The sequence below is a fragment of the Homo sapiens genome, chromosome X (assembly GCF_000001405.40).
Source record: "Homo sapiens chromosome X, GRCh38.p14 Primary Assembly".
In the NCBI taxonomy this organism is placed as follows: domain Eukaryota; kingdom Metazoa; phylum Chordata; class Mammalia; order Primates; family Hominidae; genus Homo; species Homo sapiens.
The window spans coordinates 129430818-129457421 of NC_000023.11; the positions used below are offsets into that span (position 1 = coordinate 129430818).

Here is a 26604-nt window from a genome sequence, read left to right on the forward strand (position 1 = left end):
CAATATTACTTAAAATTGGAAAAAGAAGAAAAAATACAATAACACCACCTCAATGTTTTTTTCATCAATTTTTTCCCCTCAACCTTAGAAGGATCTGTTAGAAACTGATATTTTTATGAGGAATAAATATTTTTCCAAAGTTTACCATTCCTTCCACTTTACCTCATTTTCTCCTTATTTTGTGAAATTCTACTAAACATAAATTGAATAATTTTGATTAAAAATAAAGAAAAAAATTAGCCGGGCATGGTGGCGGGCGCCTGTAGTCCCAGCTACTCAGGAGGCTGAGGCAGGAGAATGGCATGAACCCGGGAGGCAGAGCTTGCAGTGAGCCGAGATAGCAGAACTGCACTCCAGCCTAAGCGAAAGAGGGAGACTCTGTCTCAAAAAATATATATATGTATATGTATATATATGTATATATGTATATGTATATATGTATATGTATATATGTATATATGTATATGTATATATGTATATATGTATATGTATATATGTATATATGTATATGTATGTATATGTATGTGTATGTATATGTGTATATGTATATATGTATATGTATATGTATATGTATATATGTATATATGTATATGTATATATGTATATGTATATATGTATATATGTATATGTATATATGTATATGTGTATATGTATATATGTATATGTGTATATGTATATGTGTATATATGTATGTGTATATGTATATATGTATATGTGTATATGTATGTGTATATATGTATGTGTATATGTATATATGTATATGTGTATATGTATATGTGTATATGTGTATGTATATAAGTATATATGTATATATGTATATGTATATATGTATATATGTATATGTATGTATGTATATATGTATATGAATGTATATGTATACATGTATATATGTATATGTATACATGTATATATGTATACATGTATATATGTATATGTATATATGTATACATGTATATATGTATACATGTATATATGTATATGTATATATGTATACATGTATATGTATATATGTATATGTATATATGTATACATGTATATATGTATATGTATACATGTATATATGTATACATGTGTATATGTATATATGTGTATGTATATATGTATATACGTATATACGCATGTATATGTATATACACATGTATATGTATATATAATATTGCCAGGTGCAGTGGCTCATGCCTGTAATCCCAGCACTTTGGGAGGCTGAGGCAGGTGGATCACTTGAGGTCAGGAGTTCGAGACCAGCCTGGCCAGCATGGTGAAACCCCATCTCTACTAAAAATACAAAAATTCACCAGGTATGGTGGTGGGCACATCTAATCCCAGCTACTCAGGAGGCTGAGGCAGGAGAATCACTTGAAGCTGGGAAGCAGAGGTTACAGTGAGCTGAGATCACACCATTGCACTCCAGCCTGGGCGTCAGAGTGAGACTCCATCTCAAAAATATATATATATATATATATATATATATATATATATATTCATCTATCACGTGTGTGTACATATATATACACATATGCATGCAATGAGATATCTGGAACACTACGAATCTCATGCTAATGGACATTTATCAGGGTGGTGAGATTTGAGACGGTTTTAGCTCCCAACTTCTTACTTTGAATCACTAGAATTTTTGGTAATGAGCTTGTATCATTTTTAGAAGAACAATTAAAGTCCTTTTGAAATAAGATGTATAGAGTCAAACATCTCCAAAGATCTTCAAGCTCTAATACTTTATGATTTAATATTCTACGAAGCAAATGCATATCCATAATTCAGTAACAAAAGGCTCCACATTCTTTTTTTAAAAACAATAATATCTCACTAAGTCATCTGAGTCTCCTTTGATCACTGACCTTTGTTGAGGCTCAAGGCCTGGTGGAAAAATACTAGATGACTTCAAATAACCTTAGAGGACAGTGTGTTCTCATTAACCAGAAGCAATTTTTTTAACACAAATGAAAATTTTAAAATGGGAAGCATGCTAGCTAATCTAAGAAAAATGAAAAAACATTAACTTACACATAAAGTAGTTTTTTGTTTGTTTGGGATTTTTTTGAGACAGGGTCTCGCACTGTCGCCCCCCTGGGCTGGAGTGCAACGGCGCAATTTTGGCTCACCGCAACCTCTGCCTCCTGGGTTCAAGCGATTCTCCTGCCTCAGCCTCCCGAGTAGCTGGGATTACAGGCTCCCGCGACCACAACTGGCTATTTTTTGTATTTTTAGTAGAGACGAGGTTTCACTAACTTGACTAGGCTCATCTGGAACTCCTGACCTTGTGACCCACCGCCTCGCTAATATTTTTTGTATTTTTAGTAGAGACGAGGTTTCACTATGTTGGCCAGGCTGGTCTCGAACTCCTAACCTTGTGATCCACTGCGCCCGGCCCACATAAAGTGGTTTTAATATTTAGATGTAATTATGGTAAACTGTATACTTAAAGAGTCTATAAATATAACTTACATTGTCATCACTTTCTTCAATACCAAGAGTCCAAATATATTGTCTGGTTGGAAAACCCACTATTCCTCTAATCTCTCCCAGTTCTTTCATACCTCTCTGTCTTTGCACACATGCTAAGGCTTTCTCCTTCATCTCTATTTGGCCAAATGCCATTTATCCTTCAAAACTCAGTACCTCCTACCACTACAGGCCTATAGCACCTGGGGTATACATCAGTTATAACGTTCTCAGGGCCTTGTGTAATTGTGTAGGTTGTGCACTGCACAGGGCACACAGATGAGGGAGTAAGGGGGAGTTAAAATCCACCCTGAGCTCAGCTGCTAAGCAAGCTGTACCTGCCTAGAGGAGAACTCTACTAAATCTGCACAAATGTTGACCTTACAGGTTCATGTTGACTCTCAGGGTTGTTTGGATTGAAATCAGAAGTTTACTGCTCCTCCTAGACTGTGAATGCATACAAGGTAGGGACAGTGCCATCTTCACCCTTTTACGCCCAGCATCCTCAATGCCTAGCATAAAGTAGTAACTTCATATTTGTTTAATAGATCCTGAATAAATATAAGATATAAACAGTTCCTTAACCTCTTAACATCACAGTGATAACAAGTGCCAGAAATTTTTCTCTCACCTTTAGGTTGAAAAACAATTTTTTAAAGTCATACAGGAAAATAAATAAAACTAATATTAAGTCAGTCGCATTTGTATGCCAGGAATTCCACATATATCATTTCATTTTATGCTTCCAATAACCCTACCCATTAAGTCCTATTAATAGTGATAATCAACATACTTAACAACCAGTACAACATAGGCACCCACCAATCAGAGTGGACTCTGATAGAGCTCAGCTATAAACAACTGTTCCACCCACGCTGGTATCAACTCAGTGTCAGCCCTGAGTATGTCATCCTCACGTCAGAGTTAGGCAAATGCATGCTCAGGAAAGTTAGATAATGTGTCAAGCTCACCTAGCTAGTTAAGTGGAGAAACCAGGCCTACAACCTGGTTGATTCCCAAAACCTATGCTCTTTCCCCCATACCATGATACCACTACATCATCTGTATATAGCCTAGCAGGAGTGTGGCAACTTCACCTGTTTCCTGACATCTGGTGCAATGTCTATTCACCAGACTACTTCACCTCCCCAAAGAGGTATAATCATAGTTTATAACGCTAAAGTAATTACCTTGATTCCACAAGTCACACACAACTACTCATGTGGCTTTATAGTCATGCTTCATATCTTAATAAATCTGAGTGGTACATTTTTATTGCTTCATACATTGAAGGGGTTAGGAACAGGAGACAATTCTTGATTAAGGCTCCTGGCTCCCTCTGAATTTTCTAAAGTTAATTTTCTTTAAACTTGGACTACATAATGTAGTTCCTTTCCACAATTATACCTCAACTGCTTAAGATTATACCCAATGTAATTTTGTTCTGTGAAAGTTCGGGGCAATACTTTGCATCCTACACATTTTATTATTGGTTAATGAATTTTAGCTTGTTTCAAGACATCATAGGTTCTATGAACATACGTTCATTTGGGGACCCTGTTATTTACTCAATTCTTGGATCATCCACCGTATAGCCCTATGGCCAGACATGATACATAATGCCAAATCCCTACTAGGAATTAAAACATTGAACAGTGCTTGGTTTGTTTTGAGTTTGTTTTCCATTACAGCCCTGCAGGGGATTCTAATACATTAGTGTATACTATTAAATCAGTTCTTCTCTGTAAAGTAAAGGGGATTTTTTTTTCCTTAGCTTAGTTTTACTGGAATGTAGTACTAACCTACAGGCAATCTAATCATTCTGATTTGTGACCAAAATTTATTTTACTTGCAGGAAGACAGTGAACCTAAGGAAAGATTATCAGTTTTAAAATGCTTTTTAAAAGACATGCTTTCCTTTTCTTTTTTAAGCAAGACATGTTGAAATTGCTTTAGAACAAATCAACCAAACTATGAAATGTTTTATTTACAACTACATTGATGCAAGTACACATAGAAAATATTGTACACATGCCTTCTGTAATATAAGTTTTGGATCCTCTTTCCATCCAAGTCATGGGGTGGCATTCAAAATAATTAGCAACCAGAATGGCACAGACATAAGCCAATCAAAATGGAGGAGGCCAACCCTAGCCCTGAAGCAGAAGCCTGGAGTTCTCTGCTATGCCACAAAATAACCCTTTAGTTGTTGGGTAGTAAGAAGGTGTTGGGGGTCTCAGGAAGGGATCAAGTCAGTTGGGGTAAGAGAAGGCATTCGAAAGGTTCAGGGAAGGAACTATTTACCAATAACTAAGAAGTATTCGGTATTCTAATAAAATCAACTTTACCTGGTTATTAAATAATTGCCAGTATTGTTATATTCTAATTTATATTATATTTTAATATTATAGTAATAGCAGTATAATTTAAAATAAACAGTATGGTGAGTACCATCTAAAAATCAATCTGCTAGTCAATACACTGTACTCAAAATGTCCATCAACGCCTGCCAGACCCCAGGCCCTTTGTCTACCTACTCTACTCTTAGCCCCTACTGTCTAGCAGCCATGTTATGTATTATATTAGTCTGCCCTTCATTGGACACAGCCAGTGAGACTTAGGATGAATTCACAACTCAAGGGCTGAAAATCCACAAGCCAGCCAACCTTTGACATGGCTGGCACAAAAATAAACTGGCCAGCCAATCAGATTCCCAGTCTTGGGAATTTGAGTTGGGAAGCATGGAAAGATTCACGCATGGGGCATTAGTCCTTCCTGGCAGGAAATGAGAATGCAAGAGGTGATCATAGAAGTATCACTATATAAAAAGAAGATGGGAGGAGCTAGCATTGGACACAAATGGCAACAGTTAATCCCAGGTGAGTATGGACATCACAATCAGCATATGAGGAACAGTGGCAATCCAGGTGCCAGGAGGGACAACACAGGGAGACCTCTGTTTTGAGTTTACAAATCAAGGGCTGCTAAGGATCACAACTGTCAGATGACCTAGTGAAATTCTCCTGGACTGAAACTACCATACAGCGATACAACAAAGCCCACTTCAGCTCAACCACCAAACGCCTGGATTCAAATTGGCACCCTAGAAACAGCAGTTTTCAAAGTGTGATTCCTGGACCAAAAGCATCAGCGTCACCTGGGAACTTGTTAGAAATGCAAGTACCTACTGAATCAGAAGCTCTGGAGATGGAGCTCAGCATTCTGGATTTTTTTTAAATTAAATTTAAATAATGCCTACAGCACCCGTATTCCCAGGGGGTCTTCCATCCAAGTACTAACCAGGCCCAACCCTGCTTAGCTTCCAAGATCAGGCAAGATTGGGCACGTTCAGGGTGGTATGGCCATAGACCAGTTTGAGTTTTAACAAGTCTTCCAAGTGATTCCAATCCAAGTTCGAGTTTGAGAACCAACCCCTCAAGTTGGCTTTTCCCAGAGTACCAACATTACCTAGAAGTGGACTGTTGCTGCCCTTAGATCATCTCAGGGATAATCCTCCCAGAGGCAGATTCCCCAGTTGGTCAGATTTGCTGATGAAAGAACTCCTCTGCAATAGTTTATGCTTACTGGTTTCAGTATATAATTCATCATTCCCAAGCAGCTGCAAGGATGCAATATATACTCTGAACCAAAGACCATAAGCAGGCCCAGGAACTGAAAAATTTAAGGATGTCCCCTAAAGGTTGCAGACAGAGACTGACAGGCAGCTTTTAATATGATCCTTTCATATGGCTTCTAGATGAAACTGAGTTGTGTCTCTCCTGGAAGCACGTGTTTGTGGTTGAGGTGTAATAGGTAGGTGGTTTTAGGCAGAGACATCTTTAGTATTGTATATAGGAGAAAGGTTAGTGTACTAATGGGCAAGAAACAGACTATATGAAGATGTCAATTACTGCCTGTTAGTCCACTGCCTGCTTGCAACCTCTGCTGCTCTTGCTGCCAAGTTTTATATCACATGACCTCACCCTTTAGCCACAGGGTGTACCCGACCCAGTTGTAGCCAAGTCAGTCGAGTCACTTACCTACAATGTGACCCGATGCAGAAGATGATCTATGCCCATATGATTCTCCCATTCAAAAACGTGAAGGCGGCAGCAGTTAGAAATGAGAGTTAGAGTTTACCAAAAATGTCCTGAGGAAGAGAGGGATCTACGAAGGATCATGGCAAGAAAAAGTAACAATAAAAGCAGAACTCGTGCACAAAATCAGTAGGCCATTGATTAGGGCTATGGACACATACAGAGAGAAGCAGGGATGCTGAGAGAGAGAATGACAATGACAGAGACGTTGAGAGAGACATCATGTAGCCCCAGAGAGAGATGAAGAGCATTAACTGCCTCGATTCCTGCTTGCTGATGTCCTTATAATACCCACCTGTTCTTATTTAAGGTTCTTATTTAAGTAGTCAGCGAGTTACCAGAGTGCCTGAGGAGCTATTTATATTGTTTGAGTGTAAGAGCAAGTGAAAGCAAGTAACAAGATGATAGAGACACAGAGCCAATGAGAGAAGCAAGGGCAATAAAAGAAAGAAAAAGAGACAGACTGTCCCTATGGATACAAAGCTTGAAGGGTATTCTGTAAGAGAAGGGGTCACGGCCACAACCCCTTCTCCCTGGGGTTTAACCTGAGGTGCAATTAAAAATAAAGAATGTTAATAAACAAATGAATGCATGAATATACAAATGAGTAAATAATAAACAGACAAGTACAATTTAAATGAATACAGAAAGTTAATGACATTTGTCAGGATGGACAGAGATGACTATGGCCAAGGTCCAGTGGCAGAAAGAGCAACAAAGCTTCTGAGATCAAACCACTATGAGACCAGAAAGATGACTCAAGCATTTGAATTTCAAACCATTTTTGCTGGAACATCTTTGCCCAACGGTGGACTGAGTGGGGATCTCACTTAGGGACCAGTGAGATGGGAGTTGAGACATTTTGCCCCAGATACATTAATTTAGTCATAACAAGTAACAGGGCACAGTCCAGCCCCATCCACGGAAATAACGGCAATTATGGGATTACAAATCTTGACAACTTTGGTGGCAGCAAAAGTGACAGGAAAGCCTGTTCTGAAGCAAACAGCTTAGGTAGCAAAGGTAAAGGTCTCCTGCCTCAAAAAAGCTTGTCTGAGTTCTGGCCCAGTGACAGAAAAGGGATGGTAGGACCATCCCTGGACCTCAATAAATATGTTGAACCTCAGGGTATTCTCAAACAACACAGGGCATTTTGATCTCACTGCCCAGTTTTGGCCCTACTATTTTGACCTCAAGGCCATTTTTTTTTCTGCATATTGCTTTCTTCTTCTCAGACTATGAACCATTCTGGTTATAAGAATTCAACTTTACTAGGAGTTTAATACCCCTATGTCAACTTATAAGGATTTCTTTGAATGTATAAATAGGAATTTGACACCTTGAAAGAAGCTGAGCCCATGAGGTGCTGAGCCCAACCCAAATTGCTAACCCACAGAATTGTGAGTTGCAACTGGTTGTTTTAAGCCACTGAGTTTTAGGGTAGATTTTTATGCAGCAAAAGGTAACTGACATGGAGCCTAAAAATAAAGCCAAAACAAGTGTAGTTGTCTTCAAAGCCTAAAGCTGAAAATTCTGAATATGACTGAATGTTTTCCTTCAGCAGAGTAAATCCATATCCCTGCATCCTGAGAGATGCAATCACTAGTTCCAGTTCTATGAGGCTTAAGCAGTGCAGCTTGGCATACCACAGCACCTACCTAGCATTGCAGAAGATCTCCACGTGAGGAAAATTATGGCATGCGAACTATTCACATATAGTCTACATTGCTTTTTTAAAAACTACAAAATAAAAACAAATCATTTAAAAACACAGTCCATCCATATTCAAATTTCAGTATATGTGCATTTATAACAGCATATGAAAGTGTCACATTTTCTCCCAGTATCGTAAACAACAGCAAGTTGCCATTTCCCAGAAGACTCAAAATACTGTGACACCATGGTATAGTAAACCATTGTCTCAAGGATTCAAGTTCGCTCATAAAGAATCTCACCAATAATCAAAAAATGTGTTAGAAAATAAGAAATCCCACATAGATGATGTGATTCTCACAGGTTATTGAGTTTGCATTCTATCATGGTACCTCTTTTGATACCTTCTGTATTAGTCAATGCTCCAGCCACATATAAACACAGAATCAAGCACACACTAAAGAATGTACCTGGTTGCCATAGCTAAGCATCTAAGCAAGATAAGCACAGTGTCCATATTGACTTCCAGGCAAAGGAGTTAAAAGTTCCTCTCTAGTCTGCTCCCTAGCCTCCTACCCAAGTAGTGGAGGAGTACTGAATTGATGGGCAAGATTCCTGGGCACTGTAGAACCACAGTTTCTAGTGGGTGGAGCCCTGAGAATATAAACAATCCCATACAGGTAGAAAGCCCCTTTCTGGGTTCATTCTCTCTGAAGCTGGTGGCTGTAACATTTTTTTCTCATTTGAATGGTAAATTTGGAAATTTGACTTTGGCTTAAGAGAAATGTTAAGCTATTCATCCTGTTTTGGTTCTGAGTTCCACACTGTCTCTACTCTAAGCTTCCTTGTGGTCAGCTTAGTACAGTGCTGAAATAGAGTCTGGGGGCTAATGCCCCCAATGTTATTTTGCTTCCTTTGCCACTCTTTAGTCACATGCGTCTCTTGTGGAACATACCAGGGTGACAGGGCCAAGGCAGAATTTAAATATTCCCAAGTCACCTGGCCAATCACTACCATAACTCATCCCTTAATGGTGCCTGGATCTCACCTCTGTCCCTGACACTGACATGATCTCAGAAAACAGGGCAACTGTCTTCCCCAGGGACATTTGGGGAATAAAGTCCCACAAAAGAGATTGAGGTTTAGTCCTCAAACTTGAAGCACTGCTGCTGTAGGGCCAGTATATACTCTCCCATGTGTAACAGGCAGGTGCTGGTATTGGTGTAAACATTCATTTTAGGAGCTGGGATAACCTTGTCCATGACTTCAAACTGCAGGAGCCACAAGGTTCTGCAGCTAGGTCTCCCTGAAATAAACAGAATTCTAGTGTGTAACATTTTTGGCCTAATGGATCATTAGATCCAAATACTCATACACCCAACTTAGATGACAGACCTAGATTCTGTTCCTCTGGACTTTGTTTTAACTTGTATCCGGAGATAGAGAATGATGGTCACATAAAATTCTGAGGTGTCATGGCCTCCTGTAAAGTTTTCTGAGTCCCTTCCCTACCATATGTTCTCATGTTGACTCTGATTTGGACACTGCATAAACGCTAATATAAGAATTTGTGGAGAAAAGATAGAGTTAAAAAAAAATAACCCTTAGTGATTTGCAAGTCCTAATCAAAAGACAAGACACACCTTGCAGTTGCTTTCCTGATCAGGAATCTTCAATAAATATCAGCCAAGAGTCTAATTATGGCTGTGGACTTCAGAGACCTCAGAGTGTGGGTGCAATCACTGAAGGAAGGTAGAGTTCACTCATAAAAAGAGATTAAGACCTTCACTACATGGACACAGTAGCTTATTCTTGGACTGAGGTGAAGAGTAAAAGTTAATGAAAGAAAAAAGATCAAAGGTCAAAAAGGCATTAAATAATAACCATATCCAGAATGCTGTAGGGCATTAAATAATAACTATATCCAGAATGTCGTGGCTTTGAGAATTGGGTCGGCCTGGAAATAAAGGCCCTTGGTTAGGTTAGGTTACATTATAGGATAGGTTAGACTACAGGATAGGATAGGTTAGATTACAGGGTACTTTAAATGAACTAAAAACTCTTGCCCGGGAGATAGTTATTGCTTTGGAAGTGGTGGCAAGCAAGCTAGGAAAGAATTAGGAAAAGAGGCCGGGTGCGGCGCCTCACACCCGTAATCCCATCACTTTTGGAGGACCAAGGCGGGAGGATCGTTTGAACCCAGGAGTTCGAGACCCACCTGGGCAGCATGGCGAAACCCTGCCTCTACAAAAAATACAAAAAATTAGCCCGTCGTGGCAGTGCACACCTGTAGTCCCAGCTACTCGGGAGGCTGAGGTGGGAGAATCCCCTAAGCCAGGGAAGTCAAGGCTGCAGTGAGCCATAATTGCAAAACTGCACTCCAGTCTCAGGGACAGAATGAGACCGTGTCTCAATAAACAAAACTAGGAAAGGGAGAAAGCTTGAGATCTTAGAAACCAGGATAGACATATATGAAAGGAGAAAAGGATATACCTACATAGATACAGCACCCAGATCTCAGACCCAATTGCAATCATTTCTCATGAAGGCAAGGGAAACCATCTACCTAACTGTAAACAGTGTAGCTAACATACATTAGGAAACAGTAGATGAAATACCACGACAATCTTAGTAGAAAGGGGTAAGTTATCATATTTCAGCAGTGATCTTATTGCCAGTACAAAACTAAATGCCAGTACAAAAACAAATGGCATTTGGAAACTTACAGTTGATTTCAGGAGAGGGCTGAATAAGGTATCAATCCTAAATGATGATGATGATGGTCACATAATAAATATTCTAGCAAAGGTGAGACCTTATGCAAAGATCTTTTTTATCTTGGATTAGCAAATAGGCTTTGAGCTCCACCACTGAAGGAGATATGTTAATTCAAAACTATTCATGATGAGAGGTAGACAGTTGGGAGATGAATAGTGCTCACCATCAACCTCCCATAGATATATGGAGACTCTTGAAGACAGCCCACATAATTTGGTAATCCAATATATTGATGAATTCTAGTATCTATATCACAGAAAGATCAGAAATTAACCAAGCATATCTTGGGGGCAATACAGACAGGGAAGAAAGTCAACGGAAAGATACAGCTTGGATCTGACTACAGTGGCCTAGATGAAAGTTTCCTTAGCAGGAGAGCAATGTATCAGGAAAGGGACAAACGATAAAGTCACTAGGCCAACAAATGAAAAGAGCCTGGTATCAACAAGCTTTTGTAATGGTTGCATTACAGTAAGAAAGGCCGATGCTTGGTCCAATTATCTAAATGAAACACTGGTACAGGGAAGGGATACCAGCTAGCATGGAGAACACTTAAAAAGACAATAGCTTGGGCACCAGCTTTGGCCTTACCAAACACTTGAGAACCTTGGAACCTCTGCCTAATAATACTACCCAATACTGGCCGGGCGTGGTGGCTCACGCCTGTAATCCCAGAACTTTGGGAGGCCGAGGAGGGCAGATCACGAGGTCAGGAGATCGAGACCAATCCTGGCTAACACGGTGAAACCCCGTCTCTACTAAAAATACAAAAAATTAGCCGGGCGTGGTGGCGGGCGCCTGTAGTCCCAGTTACTCGGGAGGCTGAGGCAGGAGAATGGCGTGAACCCGGGAGGCGGAGCTTGCAGTTAGCCGAGATGGCGCCACTGCACTCCAGCCTGGGCGACGGAGAGAGACTCTGTCTCAAATAATAATAATAATAATAATAACACCCAATACCATAGCTATTGGTGATACAAGAAAATTTATTTTGTTATTTAGCTTCCAGAGGTCTGGAAGGCTTCTCTAGCCTCTGTAAGGTAGCCTAGAAGAGCTAGGGGTTCCCAGTGCAAAATACCCTGATTCAGTCACACCACCCCCTAACTGTTCACGGAGGGAATAGAATTTATAAGAACAGATTAATAATATGCTATCCAGTCATTACTCTTATTAAACACCCTACGCTTTCTAAATGAATTACTAAGGGGTAAGAAGAGCTATGCACACAAGGTGAGTATCTTAATTTGAGTTCCCTCAGAAGCAAATGCTGATACGAAGATTCTAATGCAAGTAGTTTATTCAGGAGCTGACCTAAGGAAATACCTACAGGGGAGTAGGGAAGTGATACAGGGGAAAAAAAGCAGTTAATAGAGTGTGTTATCAAGACAGCCACTACTGTGGGTGGCTGGAGCTTAATCCGGTGGGTAAACTCTGGGGAACCATAAATCACATACCTTAGTTACCTTGCTCAAGAGGTAAGAGAGTTGGGGCATTCATACACCAACTCCCATCAGTTTTTTTATTCAGAGCCACTTCCAGATGCGTTAATCCCTAGCTCTTCCAGCCTACCATGTGGAGGGTAGAGAAGCCTTCTAAGTCTCTGAAAAAGCCTTCAGAAAGAGATAGTGGCAGGCAAAAATCAGTTGGAGCACACAGAAATAATAAGGCTGAGGGATAGGTGACAGGATAGTATAAGCTATGTGTATTTCAACCACAGAAAAATATTACTCCTTGTCTATTAGGCAGGATGGCTTAGGAAGATGAAGGAAACATGAGATGGAATACTCAGAGAAGTCTGAAATTTGGTAACAACTTGAGGATTTCAGGAATTGGTAAGAACACCTGGAGAGAAAGACGTGGTGGCCTTGAAGCTGACCTGGGACTCTTAGCTGCACTGGCTACTGCACCATAGAGGGGGAACAATAGACCACAGAGGGGACCTTTGCCAATAATTAGGAAATAACAGCATTTTATTTTGATGACAGTAGATAGATTCACCAGTTAGGTAGAGGCTTTTCAAACCAAACAGCCAGCAACTAAGATAGCTGCAAATATTTTAGTTCAAAAACTTCTCTTAACTGGGAGTCTTAGACGAAGAACCAAATTTGGAAACATATTTCACGAGAAAACTGTGTAATCTGAAAAGTATCCAAGTATAGCATAACACCTGTAGGCCAGGTAGCCAGAGAAAAAGATAGAACTATACAATAAAGCCATACCAACGGCTACGATGAAAACAAGAGATTACTGAGCTCACCACCTGCCTTCTTTTGATTCTAAGGAAATTAGAGCCTGATTAGCCAATGAATCAAGACAGAGCTTTACAAGGACCTCTGTGGAAGATCTAGGGTTGTTGGGAAATCCCATTCACCCCTTATCTTTTACAGATAGAGGCCTTGAGTGAAGGAAGCCACTCAGGGTCTCTGTTTCTCTGCTCACTTTCCTCCTTGTACATTTTCCAAACAAGGAATCAGGTTGGGTCAGATTCCAATGTAATCCACTGGACCATTTTTGCTGGTGGGCAGAGTCATTATGCTTTATAAGACTGCATTCACATATATAGCACTCTCTTCTGCTTCCTCTGGCCTCCACGGAGCTGATACAGTAAACTGACAATCCAGGTTTCTCTCCCCAACATAGCAGCCATGTCTAGACCACTTGTTTGAAATGGTATTTCCTTCTTGGGATTTTTACATTTTCAATGGGAGTTTAATTTCTCTGTAGAAATTTAACAATAAGAGGGGTTTCATATTCAGACTTGAGGCATTTTTGTACTTCCAAGATGCTATTATTTGGACTAAGCTATCATCTGGTATTCACTGTATGGGTCTGTTTGGTAGGCTAGGTTCAACAGTGTAGCTATACATACTTTAAGATGAGAAGTAGAATAGGTGAATTTTTCACTAAATATATAGTGTGGTCTTTAAGTTAAGTCCTGAATAAAACTATTTCACAAGTTTCTAAGGATGACATCAGAAGCATCCATTGAAGGCCTTGGGGAGCTGAATTTCACATCACTTTGGTCCAAGAAAGACTCATAACAGCCATGATATGGAACAGGGAAATGACTCCATGAAAAGGCTACAAGAACTTACCTGCAGATTTTCTCCCCTAAGGTAGAGAATCACATATTAGCTCAGCTACTGAACCCTTTGGATTACCAGAGAAAGAATGAGAAGTAGAGATTGTTAAATGTCCATGCTGGGGTTCAAAGACCGTAACTGTGCCCACTCCCACCTGCCATCTTCTCTGCTCCCTAGGAAAAGAAAGGCTGAATTGACTGATCAGAGTCCAGACCCTCATTAGGCTGTTTTCTACTGCACAGAACTTGGGGTTATCAGTAAAACTCCCTGGTATCATTTTCTCCAGCGCAGATGACTAACTATAGCTATTCATATCATTGGAGTGGAAAATTCCAAGGTTAGATTTTGGGCTGAAGAGCTCTGGAGTTTGCAGCCAAAGCACCAGCTAGTGAAGTATTACTTTGCTCACCTTAGCCTCCCTTTCTTACAGAAAAGGCAGCTAAGCCAAGGACAGATTTGGGTATCCCTGGGTCCCCTGATATAATATCGTCCCAACCTTGTCTCTTAATAGAACCCCAATTTTACCCCAACCCCCAACAGGGTACAAGAGTCTAAGTGCTAATAGTGGAAACAGAAAAAATAATCCAACCAGAAACATGGCAGTAAGAGATATAAAATCTGGACAATGAATGGAGACTTAGAAGAGTCCAACAGACAGTGGGTTGTTGTTCTAGAAGATCTATTCCTCTGTTGGAGAACTTCTATGAAAAGATTGAGGATGTGAAGAATGCTGACTAACACTCAGGGGCTACCCAGAATTTGCTAGTAGTGCACTAAAAAGAGTCTGATAGGAAATGCAAAAGATCTTGGAAGGGGGAAGAGACAACTCTTTAGTGGTCCAGACCTTGTTTTGGTAACTAACATCATTATCCTGCATTCTCAGCTTTACTTATTGGTTGTGTATTTCACACTAGATTTTGATCCATTTTCCCTGCTGTCTTACAACCTGACCCAGATTCTGATTAATTCCACACTAAAAGTTTCATGTAATAGACCCAGTTTCGTTCCTGAACTGACAGTCTCTGTGACAGAGGCAGTAATGTAAGACGTTCCATTTATTCCCCTACATCTGCCAGCCCTCTTTCAGGTATATAGGACCACATGACTACTTTGGTGGCAATGAAATATAAGTGGATGTGACATGTGTCACTTCTAGGCCGAGGCAGTAAAGAGCCTAAGTGCCACATGTTCCAGATGTTGCAGCCACAAAATAGCAGAGCCTTAGTCATCCTGGAACCTTGAGTTACCGTGTGGAGCAGATCCCTTCCCATTCCCACATCCCTCTGACCTGCATGAGATATGTAGTGTGAGCAAGAAAAAAAAACTCTTGGTGTGTAAAACCTCTGACACTTTGAGATTGTTACCTGAGCATAACTGTATTCCTGACAAACACAGCCCCCCTTCTTCTGCATACATAGTGCTTATTTCATACTCTAAACTTAATTGTTAATAATTCTACATGTTACACCCAGGCCCTTCTGAACTGGCTCTATGGGACAGAAGATCACACACAAGTCAGCAAGCAAAGCTTTAACTTTGAACCAAATACACAGTAGTAAGCAATACAATTCAGTAAACACAACTACTTTCTACTGCACAAAAAAACAGGAAATAATTAAATTTCTTATAGACATTTCTTTATTATATTTTCCCACTTGAATAGAGAATAATTTAAATGTAATGCATACTGACAGCAAGCACAGTATCAAATATTAGCTTTTTTAATATTTTTCTTTCCTCACCCTTTATTCCTTTAGGAAAAAAATATTTAGATGACCTCAAAGAAACAATTATTATGCTAATCACAGTATGCAGTAACACAAACAAGCCCAGACTCAATAGAAAAGAAAGCAACAAAGAAGTGAAAAAGTCTTTCTCCTCAAAACATTTTAATTCGTTTTTCCACAGCCATATAAATTTAAAGTATGAAACAACAATAATACAACTATAGAATCTAGGTTCTCTTTCAAAGCAGCGGCATATAAAACATAGAAAAGCTAAAACCTCAGCACAAGCTTCAAAAGAACAAGGACTGAGAGGATTTTGATGAAGACATGAAATGCACAAAATACAGTACACAAAAATACTAGAATGCCATAAAATATAAAGCTACACATTTCAGGTAGAAAGCATTGTAAAATATATAAAATATGCAAGAAATCAAAACCAAAGAGATTTTTCTTAGAGTACCATGAATACACTGGAACTGGCAATTAGCATTTGAAGATGGGAACAAGAAAATAGCAGTTTCCCATTTAAAACTTTATTTCTAGGCTTTAGGATTTCACCTTCTTGACATCCTTCTTTCCAGAGCTCTCAGTAGCTGACTCTGCTTTTCTTTTCTGTGACTAAAATGGAAACAGATTTAATGTTCTGCTCCAATATGCACATTTTAAATGGCCCAACAATGTTAAATCTAGGATGTAAATGCATTAAAAAAAAATTTTAACATGAATATTCACTTAAATGTTATATTCACAGTTAATGTTCTATATAGCCCAACAAACTATATAACCCAATGTAAAATAACCTTCAAAGATGTTTCTTTTTATGAAAAGACATAAAATACCCATCAAAAATAGTCATCAAGTATCTACTTACACATGGTATTATAAATGTACTCTTATCTTAAAGAACTACTTAATGTTTTCTGGGCAAAATTTTGTTTATGAGTATATATTTTTTAAAAAACTTATGATAGGTTTTAACATACCATATTTCATATCTTCTATGATACACATTTCTTTCACATTTTAGCATCTCTGAAATCAGGATGCAACTTACAACTGATGACAAATTACACCTGGCAGCATTTTCCCTCAGTGGTACATAAAATAATGCTGTGTCTTACAATGGAAGGCATCTTAGATTCGATGAAATATGGCAGTTTACTTAACCACACTCAAATAATACGATCTATTAAAGAATATTTTAAATTACAGCTGTACAAAGCAACCTGACTGGATTAAAATCAAGTTATCCTATCAATTCAACAGTTCACTTATTACCAAGCAAAGCTTTGTTGTCTGCTCAGAGTTCCCATTTGTACTCATAATTCCACAAACATCAGAAAACTTACTTGATCAAATCAGAACTCCTAGTTTCAACTTCAGCCCCATCCCATCCCACCCCTACCCCTCTGCTACCCCCATGATAGCTCTAGTCTCAATTCAAAAGATTTCACTTGCATTATACTTCTGTTTAGATTCATGAGGAATTTTTTAAAATACTGAGCCTAGTTACTAGGGAGTTCCTAACCATATGTTCTACAAACAAATAAGAAACATGGTTGTGAAGCAATTCTTCTTCTGTCCAAAACAAATTAGCATTTCATAAAACCAGCTTTTATTAATAGCTATCACTATGGCATTAAACATAATATAGGCATTTTAATTATGTAAAAAAATGGGATCTACCTAAAAGTTAGGAAAATGCTGAAAATTTTACCATTGGAGTTTTAGTTGCCCGTTTCTTCTTTTCTGCTCTCTCTCTTTCCTCAATTTCCATATTTTCTTTCTCAATCAATGAAATCAGAGTGTTACAGCGTCTCTGGAATTCCTAAATGAAGTAATAAAGATTTTTAATTTCTGCAACCCAATCATTATCTTTAAAACGCTGACAACTATTTAACTGTATGATTTCTGTGGTATAGAATTTCCAAAACTGCTATTTTTCAGGACAATATTCACACAGGGTATTAATAGATTCCACCAGAATTAGGAGTGGGGGTAAATGTCATTTATGGATGACTGGTTAAACAAACCATGATACATCCATATCATATAATATTACTCAGCAATAAAAAGGAAAGAACTATTAATACAGTTAACAATCTGAATGAACCTCAAGGGAATTATGCTAAGTAAAAAAAAAAAGCTAATTTCGAAAGGTTACATACCATATTATTCCATTTATATAACATCCTTAAATGACAAAATTATAGAAAGAGAGAACAGATCAATGGTTGCCGGGAGCTAGGGAGAGGAGAGAGGGTAGGTGTGACTGTAAAGAGATAGCACAATGGAGTCTTATGGTGGTGGAGGTTACACAACTCTACACATGACAAAACTGCATTGAACTGCACACACACACACACACACACACACGAGCGCATGTATAACTGATGAAATCTGAACAAGCTCTATAGATTACACGAATGTCAATTTCCTGGTTGTGATATTTTACTATAGTTTTGCAAAATGTTACTATTGGGGAAAACTGGGTGAAGGGTGCATGAGACCTCCCTGTACATTTTCTTTACAACTTTTTGTGAATTTTCTTATTTCAAAATAAAAAGTTAACATAAATCACATAAACAAAAAAAAATAAGGGGATGTTCTATGGTCAAAATAAGTTTTGGAAGTACCCAGTTTACAAAAGTTAAACAGATTTACTTATTACATGGCTTCTCAGAGCCTTTCAGTTCCCTATGTGCACTGTGAACCACTAGGTGGGGCGTACAGGATGCAGCAGTTGTCAAAAATATTTAACCAACAGACTTTCTTCTCACCGGACATCTTGTGGGATCAGAGTTCTGGGGACCACATCACAGGAAACACTGCTGTATTTGTTAATTCAGAGCAAATAATATCTGAAAAGATTTCTACATTAACCTTGCCACTACCTATATTTCACTGTCAGCAAATCAATGCATGCAAACTATAAATACTTTTTACGAATGTATGGTGAACATTAAACATGATTCATTAATACGGAATATCATATATTATTAACCCTGTATACTTTGCTATATTTTAAAGGTAAATAATGGTTTAATATCAAAGGATAAATAATATTTTAAAATATGATTCCTTTTCTGTATAAGCAAAAATGCCTGCCAGAATAGCTAAACACTCAAGTGAAAATGTAGGTTTACTGGCAATTAAGAACAACCCCAACACACACACACACAAATGGTCAAAGTACAGGAATAGAAAACTCACCAAAAAAAAAAAAGTCCAAACATTATAATCAAGTTTCACTGCAACTAATGACCAAAGAAATGCAAAGTAAAACAATGCCATCTTCATCAAATTAGCAATATGTACATGCTTGTGTGCATGTGCACATATATGGTATACATATCTGACATTGACAATAAGATGCTGAAACGGGAACTTTCATTCACTGATGATGAAATGTCAATGCTACTATCTGCTATGGACTGAGGTATGTCTCCGCAAAATTCATCTGAAGCCCTAACCTTCAATGTGACTGTATTTGAAGATGGGGACTTGTGACTGTATTTGAAGATGGGGACTTTAAGGAGGTAATTAAGGTTAAATGAGGTCCTATGGATGGAGCCCTAATCCAATAGGACTGGTGTCCTTGTAAGAAGTGGAAGAGACATCAAAGCTCTCCCTTTCTCTGCACGCACTCCAACAATGGGCCATATGAGAATGCCACGTGCAGAAGGTGGCCATCTGCAAGCCAGGAGGAGAAGCCACACCAGAAACCAGCCCTGCTGGCACCTTGATCTTGAACTTTCAGTCTCCATAATGGTGAGAAAATAAATTCCTGTTGCTTAAGCCACTCAGTCTGTGGCATTCTGTTATGGCAGCCCAAGCTGACTAATACACTACCTTTCTTGAAAGCAAATTTGACATTTCAACGACGGATCTTAAAATTTTCACACCCTTTGACCTAGCAATTCCATTTCCAGAAATGTATTGTAAGGAAATAAGATGTATACAAATATTTACAAAACAATGTTTAGAGCAGTGTTAAACTGGGAACTAACTAAAATTTTGGTAATCTGGAAACAGAATACACAGACACGTATTATTATTATTATATATATACACAGAAATAGCTAAAAGAATATTAACAATAATGTTACTAGTGGTTAACATCGGCTATCCCTAAGAGTAGGACTACTGATAACTTTTATTTTTCTCTTGATACTAGCCTGAATTCTCCAAATTTTCTGCAATGAACATTTAAGTGTTGGGCAATCTGTAACTTTTTAAGAATGGAAAATTGTTTAAAATTCAGTTTTATCTTTCCAAATAAAATCCAAAAAAAATGGCATACAACATAGGAAATGTAAGATACAAAATAAGATCAACTATCCAGGCAAATGAATTTTAGGCTCTAAATGAAACCCAAAAGGAGGCAGAAAACCAGAGTCTAGCCAGAAAAAAATTGCTCATTAATGAATTATTGTTTACCTATTAAAAATACTCTAATGTAACACTGGCATGTTCAAGTTTCTTGTGTATCTTCAATCACCCAGGGTTAAATAATTTAGAAACAATAACTCTGAAATTTTCCTTACTTACCAAAACAATAGTGATATCTTTAGTATGCAGACCAAATATTCTCCATAGCTTCATTCAATAACACACATACAAATTAAACAGCATGTTATTCAATTTACCTATTATAGAAAAGGCTAAGTTGACCCTGATGAGATTTGATCGTTGGTTTCTAGGGAGACTAAATAGAGTCTTTATGTAAAGCTGACTCGTGAATCATTAAGCTATATCCTCTGGCTATTATTATTCTCAATAAGTAATAGTTGCTTGTGACTGGAGATATCTTTAGATATATATTCATGGTTCATGTGGGTGATTCAGAAAAAAAAACTAATACTTTTGAGACAGCCTCCTAAGCAGGGAAGTAGAATACCTCAAAATGAGTATAAATGGACTGTGTAATTAGTTCATACCTTCATTCCTTTTAACCTGTCAATAACTACTCCAGACAGAAAAATAATCTAAGACGCTACAGAAAGACATCAAGGAATGGACAAGTATGGGTGTTACCTTCCTATCACACAGGTCATGTCATGTTCTCTATAGATACCAGCTCCATTTTTTTTTTTTTTTTTTTTTGAGACGGAGTCTCACTCTGTCACCCAGGCTGGAGTGCAGTGGCACGATCTCGGCTCACTGCAAGCTCCATCTCCCGGGTTCACACCATTCTCCTGCCTCAGCCTCCCGAGTAGCTGGGACTACAGGCGCCCGCCACCACACCCGGCTAATTTTTTGTATTTTTAGTAGAGACAGGGTTTCACCATGTTAGCCAGGATGGTCTCGATCTCCTGATCTTGTGATCCACCCACCTTGGCCTCCCAAAGTGCTGGGATTACAGGCGTGAGCCACCACGCCCAGCCTCCATTTTTTTATTCTCATGCTTCATGACTGCCTAACGCAACATAAGTTATCACAAACAGAACACTAGCTAAAACTAGAAGTTAAAAGGAGAAAGGCTAGATTACCAATAAAAAATGACTCATTTATTGAATAAGTGACTATGAAATGACTATGAGAAATTTCATGATGTCAAAAGCACATTCTTTTTCTATAATTTCTCCTTTCATATATTCTCCTAGATTCTTGTACATCTTTATCTTCCTATTTTGTGGGGGATTACAGGGAATTGTTCATAGGACCTCAAACTGTTTCCACAATTGTATAGTCTAGTTATCTCTTTCTCTCACCATTTCCCCACACTGGATTTAAAAATGAAGTTGGAGAAAAACAGCACACAAGAGGAAAAGAGGAGATGCAAAAACAATAAAGACAACAGAAGAGAATAGGAAAATAACAAACGGAAAACTGCTCTGTAGTGTTAATAGCTGTGGCAAAAAATTCCTATGTTCAAATGTGTATGGGAAATGTTGGTTTTTTAAAATGTTACACAAATTTCTTTATGATAGGACTTCTCAGAGCTTTTAGCATTCTAATGCAGAGTGGAAATGTGAATGGCAGGATTCAGTATAATCAGCACGTCCCAACTCTATCTGAACACAGAACTCTTGTTCTGCATATCATCGATTTGCACACCCTGGAACAACGTTTGGTAGAAATCAACTTGGGAAATGTTGCACAGCATGAGTGATGAATACAGCTAAGTTAGGATCAAAGTACAGGCGTATCTCGTTTTACTGCACTTCACTTTACTGAGCTTCATAGATATTGTGCTTTTACAAATTGCACGTCTGTAGCAATCCTACATTGAACAAGTCTATTGGTGCCATTTTTCCAAGAGGATATGTTTACTTCATGTCTCTGTGTCACATGTTGGTAATTCTCACAATATTTCAAAGATCATTATTATTATATCTGTTACGGTGACCTGTGGTCAGTGAGCTTTTATGTTACTATCATAATCATTGTGAGGTACCACGAATCACAACCATATTAGATGGCTAACTTTATTTATAAATGTTGTGTGTATTCTGACCACTCTACCAACCAGCCATTCCCCCAACTCTCTCCCTCCCTCACGCTTCTATTCCCTGAGACAAAATGATATAGAAATTGGGCTAATTATAACTCTAAAATGGCCCCTAGGTGTTCAAATAAAAGGAAACGACTTACTTTAAATCAAAAGCTAGAAATGATTAAGCTTAGTGAGGAAGTTGAGACAGGCCAAAAGCTAGGCCTCTTGAGCTAAACAACTAGCCAAGTTGTGAATGCAAAGGAAACACTCTTGGAGGAAGTTAAAACTGCTACTCCACTGGAAGCATTCCCTATGAAAACCAGCACAAGAGAGAGACAAGGATGCCCTCTCTCCCCACTCCTATTCAACACAGTATTGGAAGTTCTGGCCAGGGCAATCAGGCAAGAGAAAGAAATAAACGGTATTCAAATAGGAAGAAAGGAAGTCAAATTGTCTGTTTGCAGATGACATGATTGTACATTTATAAAACTCCATCGTCTCAGCCCAAAATCTCCTTAAGCTGATAAGCAACTTCAGCAAAGTCTCAGGATACAAAATCTATGTGCAAAAATCACAAGCATTCCTATAAACCAATAATAGACAGAGAGCCAAATCATGAGTGAACTCCAACTCACAATTGCTACCAGGAGAATAAAACACCTAGGAATGCAACTTACAAGGGATGTGAAGGACCTCTTCAAGAAGAACTACAAACCACTCCTCAAGAAAATAAGAGAGGACACAAACAAATAGAAAAACATTCCATGCTCATGGATAGGAAGAATCTATATCGTGAAAATGGCCATACTGCCCAAAGTAATTTATAGATTAAATGCTATCCCCATCAAGCTACCATTGACTTTCTTCACAGAATTAGAAAAAACTACTTTAAATTTCATATGGAACCAAAAAAGAGCCCGTATAGCCAAGACAATCCTAAACAAAAAGAACAAAGCTGGAGGCATCACGCTACCTGACTTCAAACTATACTACAAGGCTACAGTAACCAAAACAGCATGATATTGGTACCAAAACAGATATATAGACCAATGGAACAGAACAGAAGCCTCAGAAATAACACCACACATCTACAACCATCTGATCTTTGACAAACCTGACAAAAACAAGCAATGGGGAAAGGATTCCCTATTTAATAAATGGTGCTGGGAAAACTGGCTAGCCATATGCAGAAAACTGAAACTGGACCCCTTCCTTACACCTTATACAAAAATTAATTCAAGATGGATTAAAGACTTACACGTAAGACCTAAAACCATAAAAACCTTACAAGAAAACCTAGGCAATACCATTCAGGACACAGGCTTGGGCAAAGACTTCGTGAGTAAAACACCAAAAGCAATGGCAACAAAAGCCAAAATTGACAAATGAGATCTAATTAAACTAAAGAGCTTCTACACAGCAAAAGAAACTATCATCAGAGTAAACAGGCAACCTACAGAATGGGAGAAAATCTTTGCAATCTATCCATCTGACAAAGGGCTAATATCCAGAATCTACAACTTAAACAAATTTACAAGAAAAAAACCCAAACAACCCCATTAAAAAGTGGGCGAAGGATATGAACAGACACTTTTTATTATTATTATTATACTTTAAGTTCTAGGGTACATGTGCACAACATGCAGATTTGTTACATATGTATACATGTGCCATGTTGGTGTGCTGCACCCATTAACTCGTCATTTACATTAGGTATATCTCCTAATGCTATCCCTCCCCCCATGAACAGACACTTTTCAAAAGAAGACATTTATGCGGCTAACAAACATAATGAAAAAGAGCTCATCATCACTGGTCATTACAGAAATGCAAATCAAAACCACAATGAAACACCATCTCACACCAGTTAGGGTGGCGATCATTAAAAAGTCAGGAAACAACAGATGCTGGAGAGGATGTGGAGAAATAGGAACGCTTTTACACTGTTGGTGGGAGTGTAAATTAGTTCAACCATTGTGGAAGACAGTGTGGCAATTCCTCAAAGATCTAGAACCAGAAATACCATTGAACCCAGCAATCCCATTACTGAGTATGTACCCAAAGGATTATAAATCATTCTACTCTAAAGACACATGCACATGTATGTTTATTGCAGCACTTTTCACAATAGCAAAGACTTGGAACCAACCCAAATGCCCATCAATGATAGACTGGATAAAGAAAATGTGGCACATATACCCCCATGGAATACTACGCAGTCATAAAAAGGATGAGTTCATGGCCTTTGCAGGGACATAGATGAAGCTGGAAACCATCATTCTCAGCAAACTAACACAGGAACAGAAAACCAAACACTGCATGTTCTCACTCATAAGTGGGAGTTGAACAATGAGAACACATGGACACAAGGAAGGGAACATCACACACTGGGGCCTGTTGGGGGGGTGGGGGACTAGGGGAGGGATAGCATTAGGAGAAATACCTAATGTAGATGCTGGATTGATGGGTGCAGCAAACCACCATGGCACGTGTATACCTATGTAACAAACCTGCACATTCTGCACATGTATCCCAGAACTTAAAGTATAATTTAAAAAAAAAAAGTGCTACTCCACTGAACACACAAGTGATAAGAAAGCCAAACAGCCTTATTGCTGATATGGAGAAAGTTTTAGTGGTCTGGACAGATCAAACCAGCCACAACATTCCCTTAAGCCAAAGCCTCATCCAGAGCAAGATCCTAACTCTTCAATTCTATGAAGGCTGAGAGAGGTAAGGAAGGTGCAGAAGAAAAGTTTAAAGTTGGTGGAGGTTGGTTCATGAAGTTTATAGAAAGATGCTGTTTCCATAACATAAAAGTGCAAGGTGAAACAGCAAGTGCTGATGGAGAAGCTGCAGCAAGTTATCCAGAAAAATCTAGCTAAGATAATTGATGAGGGTGGCCACACTAACCAACGAATTTTCAATGGAGACAAAATACCCTAATATTAGAAGAAGATGCCATCTAGGACTTTCATAACTAGAGAGGAAAAGCGGATGCCCAGCTTCAAAGCTTCAAATGACAGGTTTATTCATTAGGGGCTAAAGCAGCTGGTGACTTTAAATTGAAACCAACGCTCATTTATTATTCTGAAAATCCTAGGGCTCTTAAAAATTATGCTAAATCCACTCTACCTTAGCTCTAGAACTGGAACAACAAAGGCTGGGGTGACAGCACTATTTATAGTATGAAGTATTTATACTTTAAGCCCATGTTGAGACCCTACTCCTCAAAAAAAGATTCCTTTTAAAATATTATTGCTCTTTGACAATGCACCTGGCCACCCAAGAGTTCTGATGGAGATAATGTATAAGGATATTGAGGTTTTTCATGCCTGTTAACACAACATTCATTTACAGCCCATGGATCAAAGAGTAATTCTGACTTTCAAGTCATATTATTTAAGAAATACATTTCATAAGACTATAGCTGCCATAAATAGTGATTACTCTGATGGATCTGGGCAAAGTCAATTGAAAACCTTCTGGAAAGGATTCATCGTTCTAGATGCCATTAAGAACATTCGTGATTTATGGAAGGAAGTCAAAATGCCAATATTAACAAGAGTTTAGAAGAAGGTGATTCCAGTCCTCATGGATGACTTTGAGGGATTCAAGACTTTAGTGGAGGAAGTCACTGCAGATGTGGTGGAAATAGCAAGAGAACTAGAATTAGAAGTGGAGCCTGAAGATGTGACTGAAATGCTGCAATTTCATGATAAAACTTGAGTGGATGAGGAGTTGCTTCTTATGGATGAACAAAGAAAGTGGTTACTTGGGAAGGCATCTACTCCTGGTGAAGATGCTGTGAACATTGTTGAGATGACAACAAAGGATTCAGAATTATACATAAAATTAGTTAATAAAGCTTTGGCAAGATTTGAGGGGACTGACTCCAATTTTGAAAGAAGCTCTACTGTAACATGCTATCAAACAGCATCACATGCCAAAGATAAATCTTTTGTGAAAGGAGGAGTCAATCAATGTGGCACACTTCATTGTTGTCTTCTCTGAAGAAATTGCCACAGCCACCCCAACCTTCAGCAACAACCACCCTGATCAGTCAGCAGCAATTCACACTGAGGCAAGACCATCCACCAGCAAAAAGATTACAACTTGCTAAAGGCTCAGATGACTGTTAACCTTTTTAAGCAATAAAGTATTTTTTAATTAAAGTAAGTACTTTTTCAGACATAATGCTATTGCTCGCCTTATAGACAAAACTTTTATATGCACTGAGAAACCAACAAATTCATGTGACTTGCTTTATTGTGATATTTGCTTTATTGTAGTGTTCTGGAACTGAACCTGAAATATGTCCAGTGTGTGACTGTGTAAAGAAACTGGGAACTAACAACAAAGAACTT

The 26604-nt window shown here is 38.4% G+C and overlaps 1 protein-coding gene and 1 pseudogene across 7 annotated transcripts in view; both read right to left on the bottom strand.

Annotated features, from left to right (window-relative positions):
* RNA5SP513 (RNA, 5S ribosomal pseudogene 513) lies at positions 5713-5830 on the bottom strand (annotated as a pseudogene).
* Positions 15689-26604, bottom strand: part of SMARCA1 (SNF2 related chromatin remodeling ATPase 1) — a 76985-nt gene continuing 66069 nt past the window's right edge. For 2 of the 7 annotated variants that reach the window (NM_001282875.2, NM_001282874.2), the window contains 2 exons: positions 17516-17626; positions 15689-16416 (listed from right to left, as the gene is read on the bottom strand). In NM_001282875.2, the coding sequence (NP_001269804.1) occupies positions 16345-16416; positions 17516-17626 (183 nt within the window). In that variant the 3' untranslated portion in view covers positions 15689-16344. Of the gene's footprint in view, positions 16485-17484; positions 17627-26604 lie in introns of all 7 variants that reach the window. The other 5 variants (NM_001378264.1, NM_001378261.1, NM_001378262.1 and 2 more) reach the window with 3 other exon arrangements.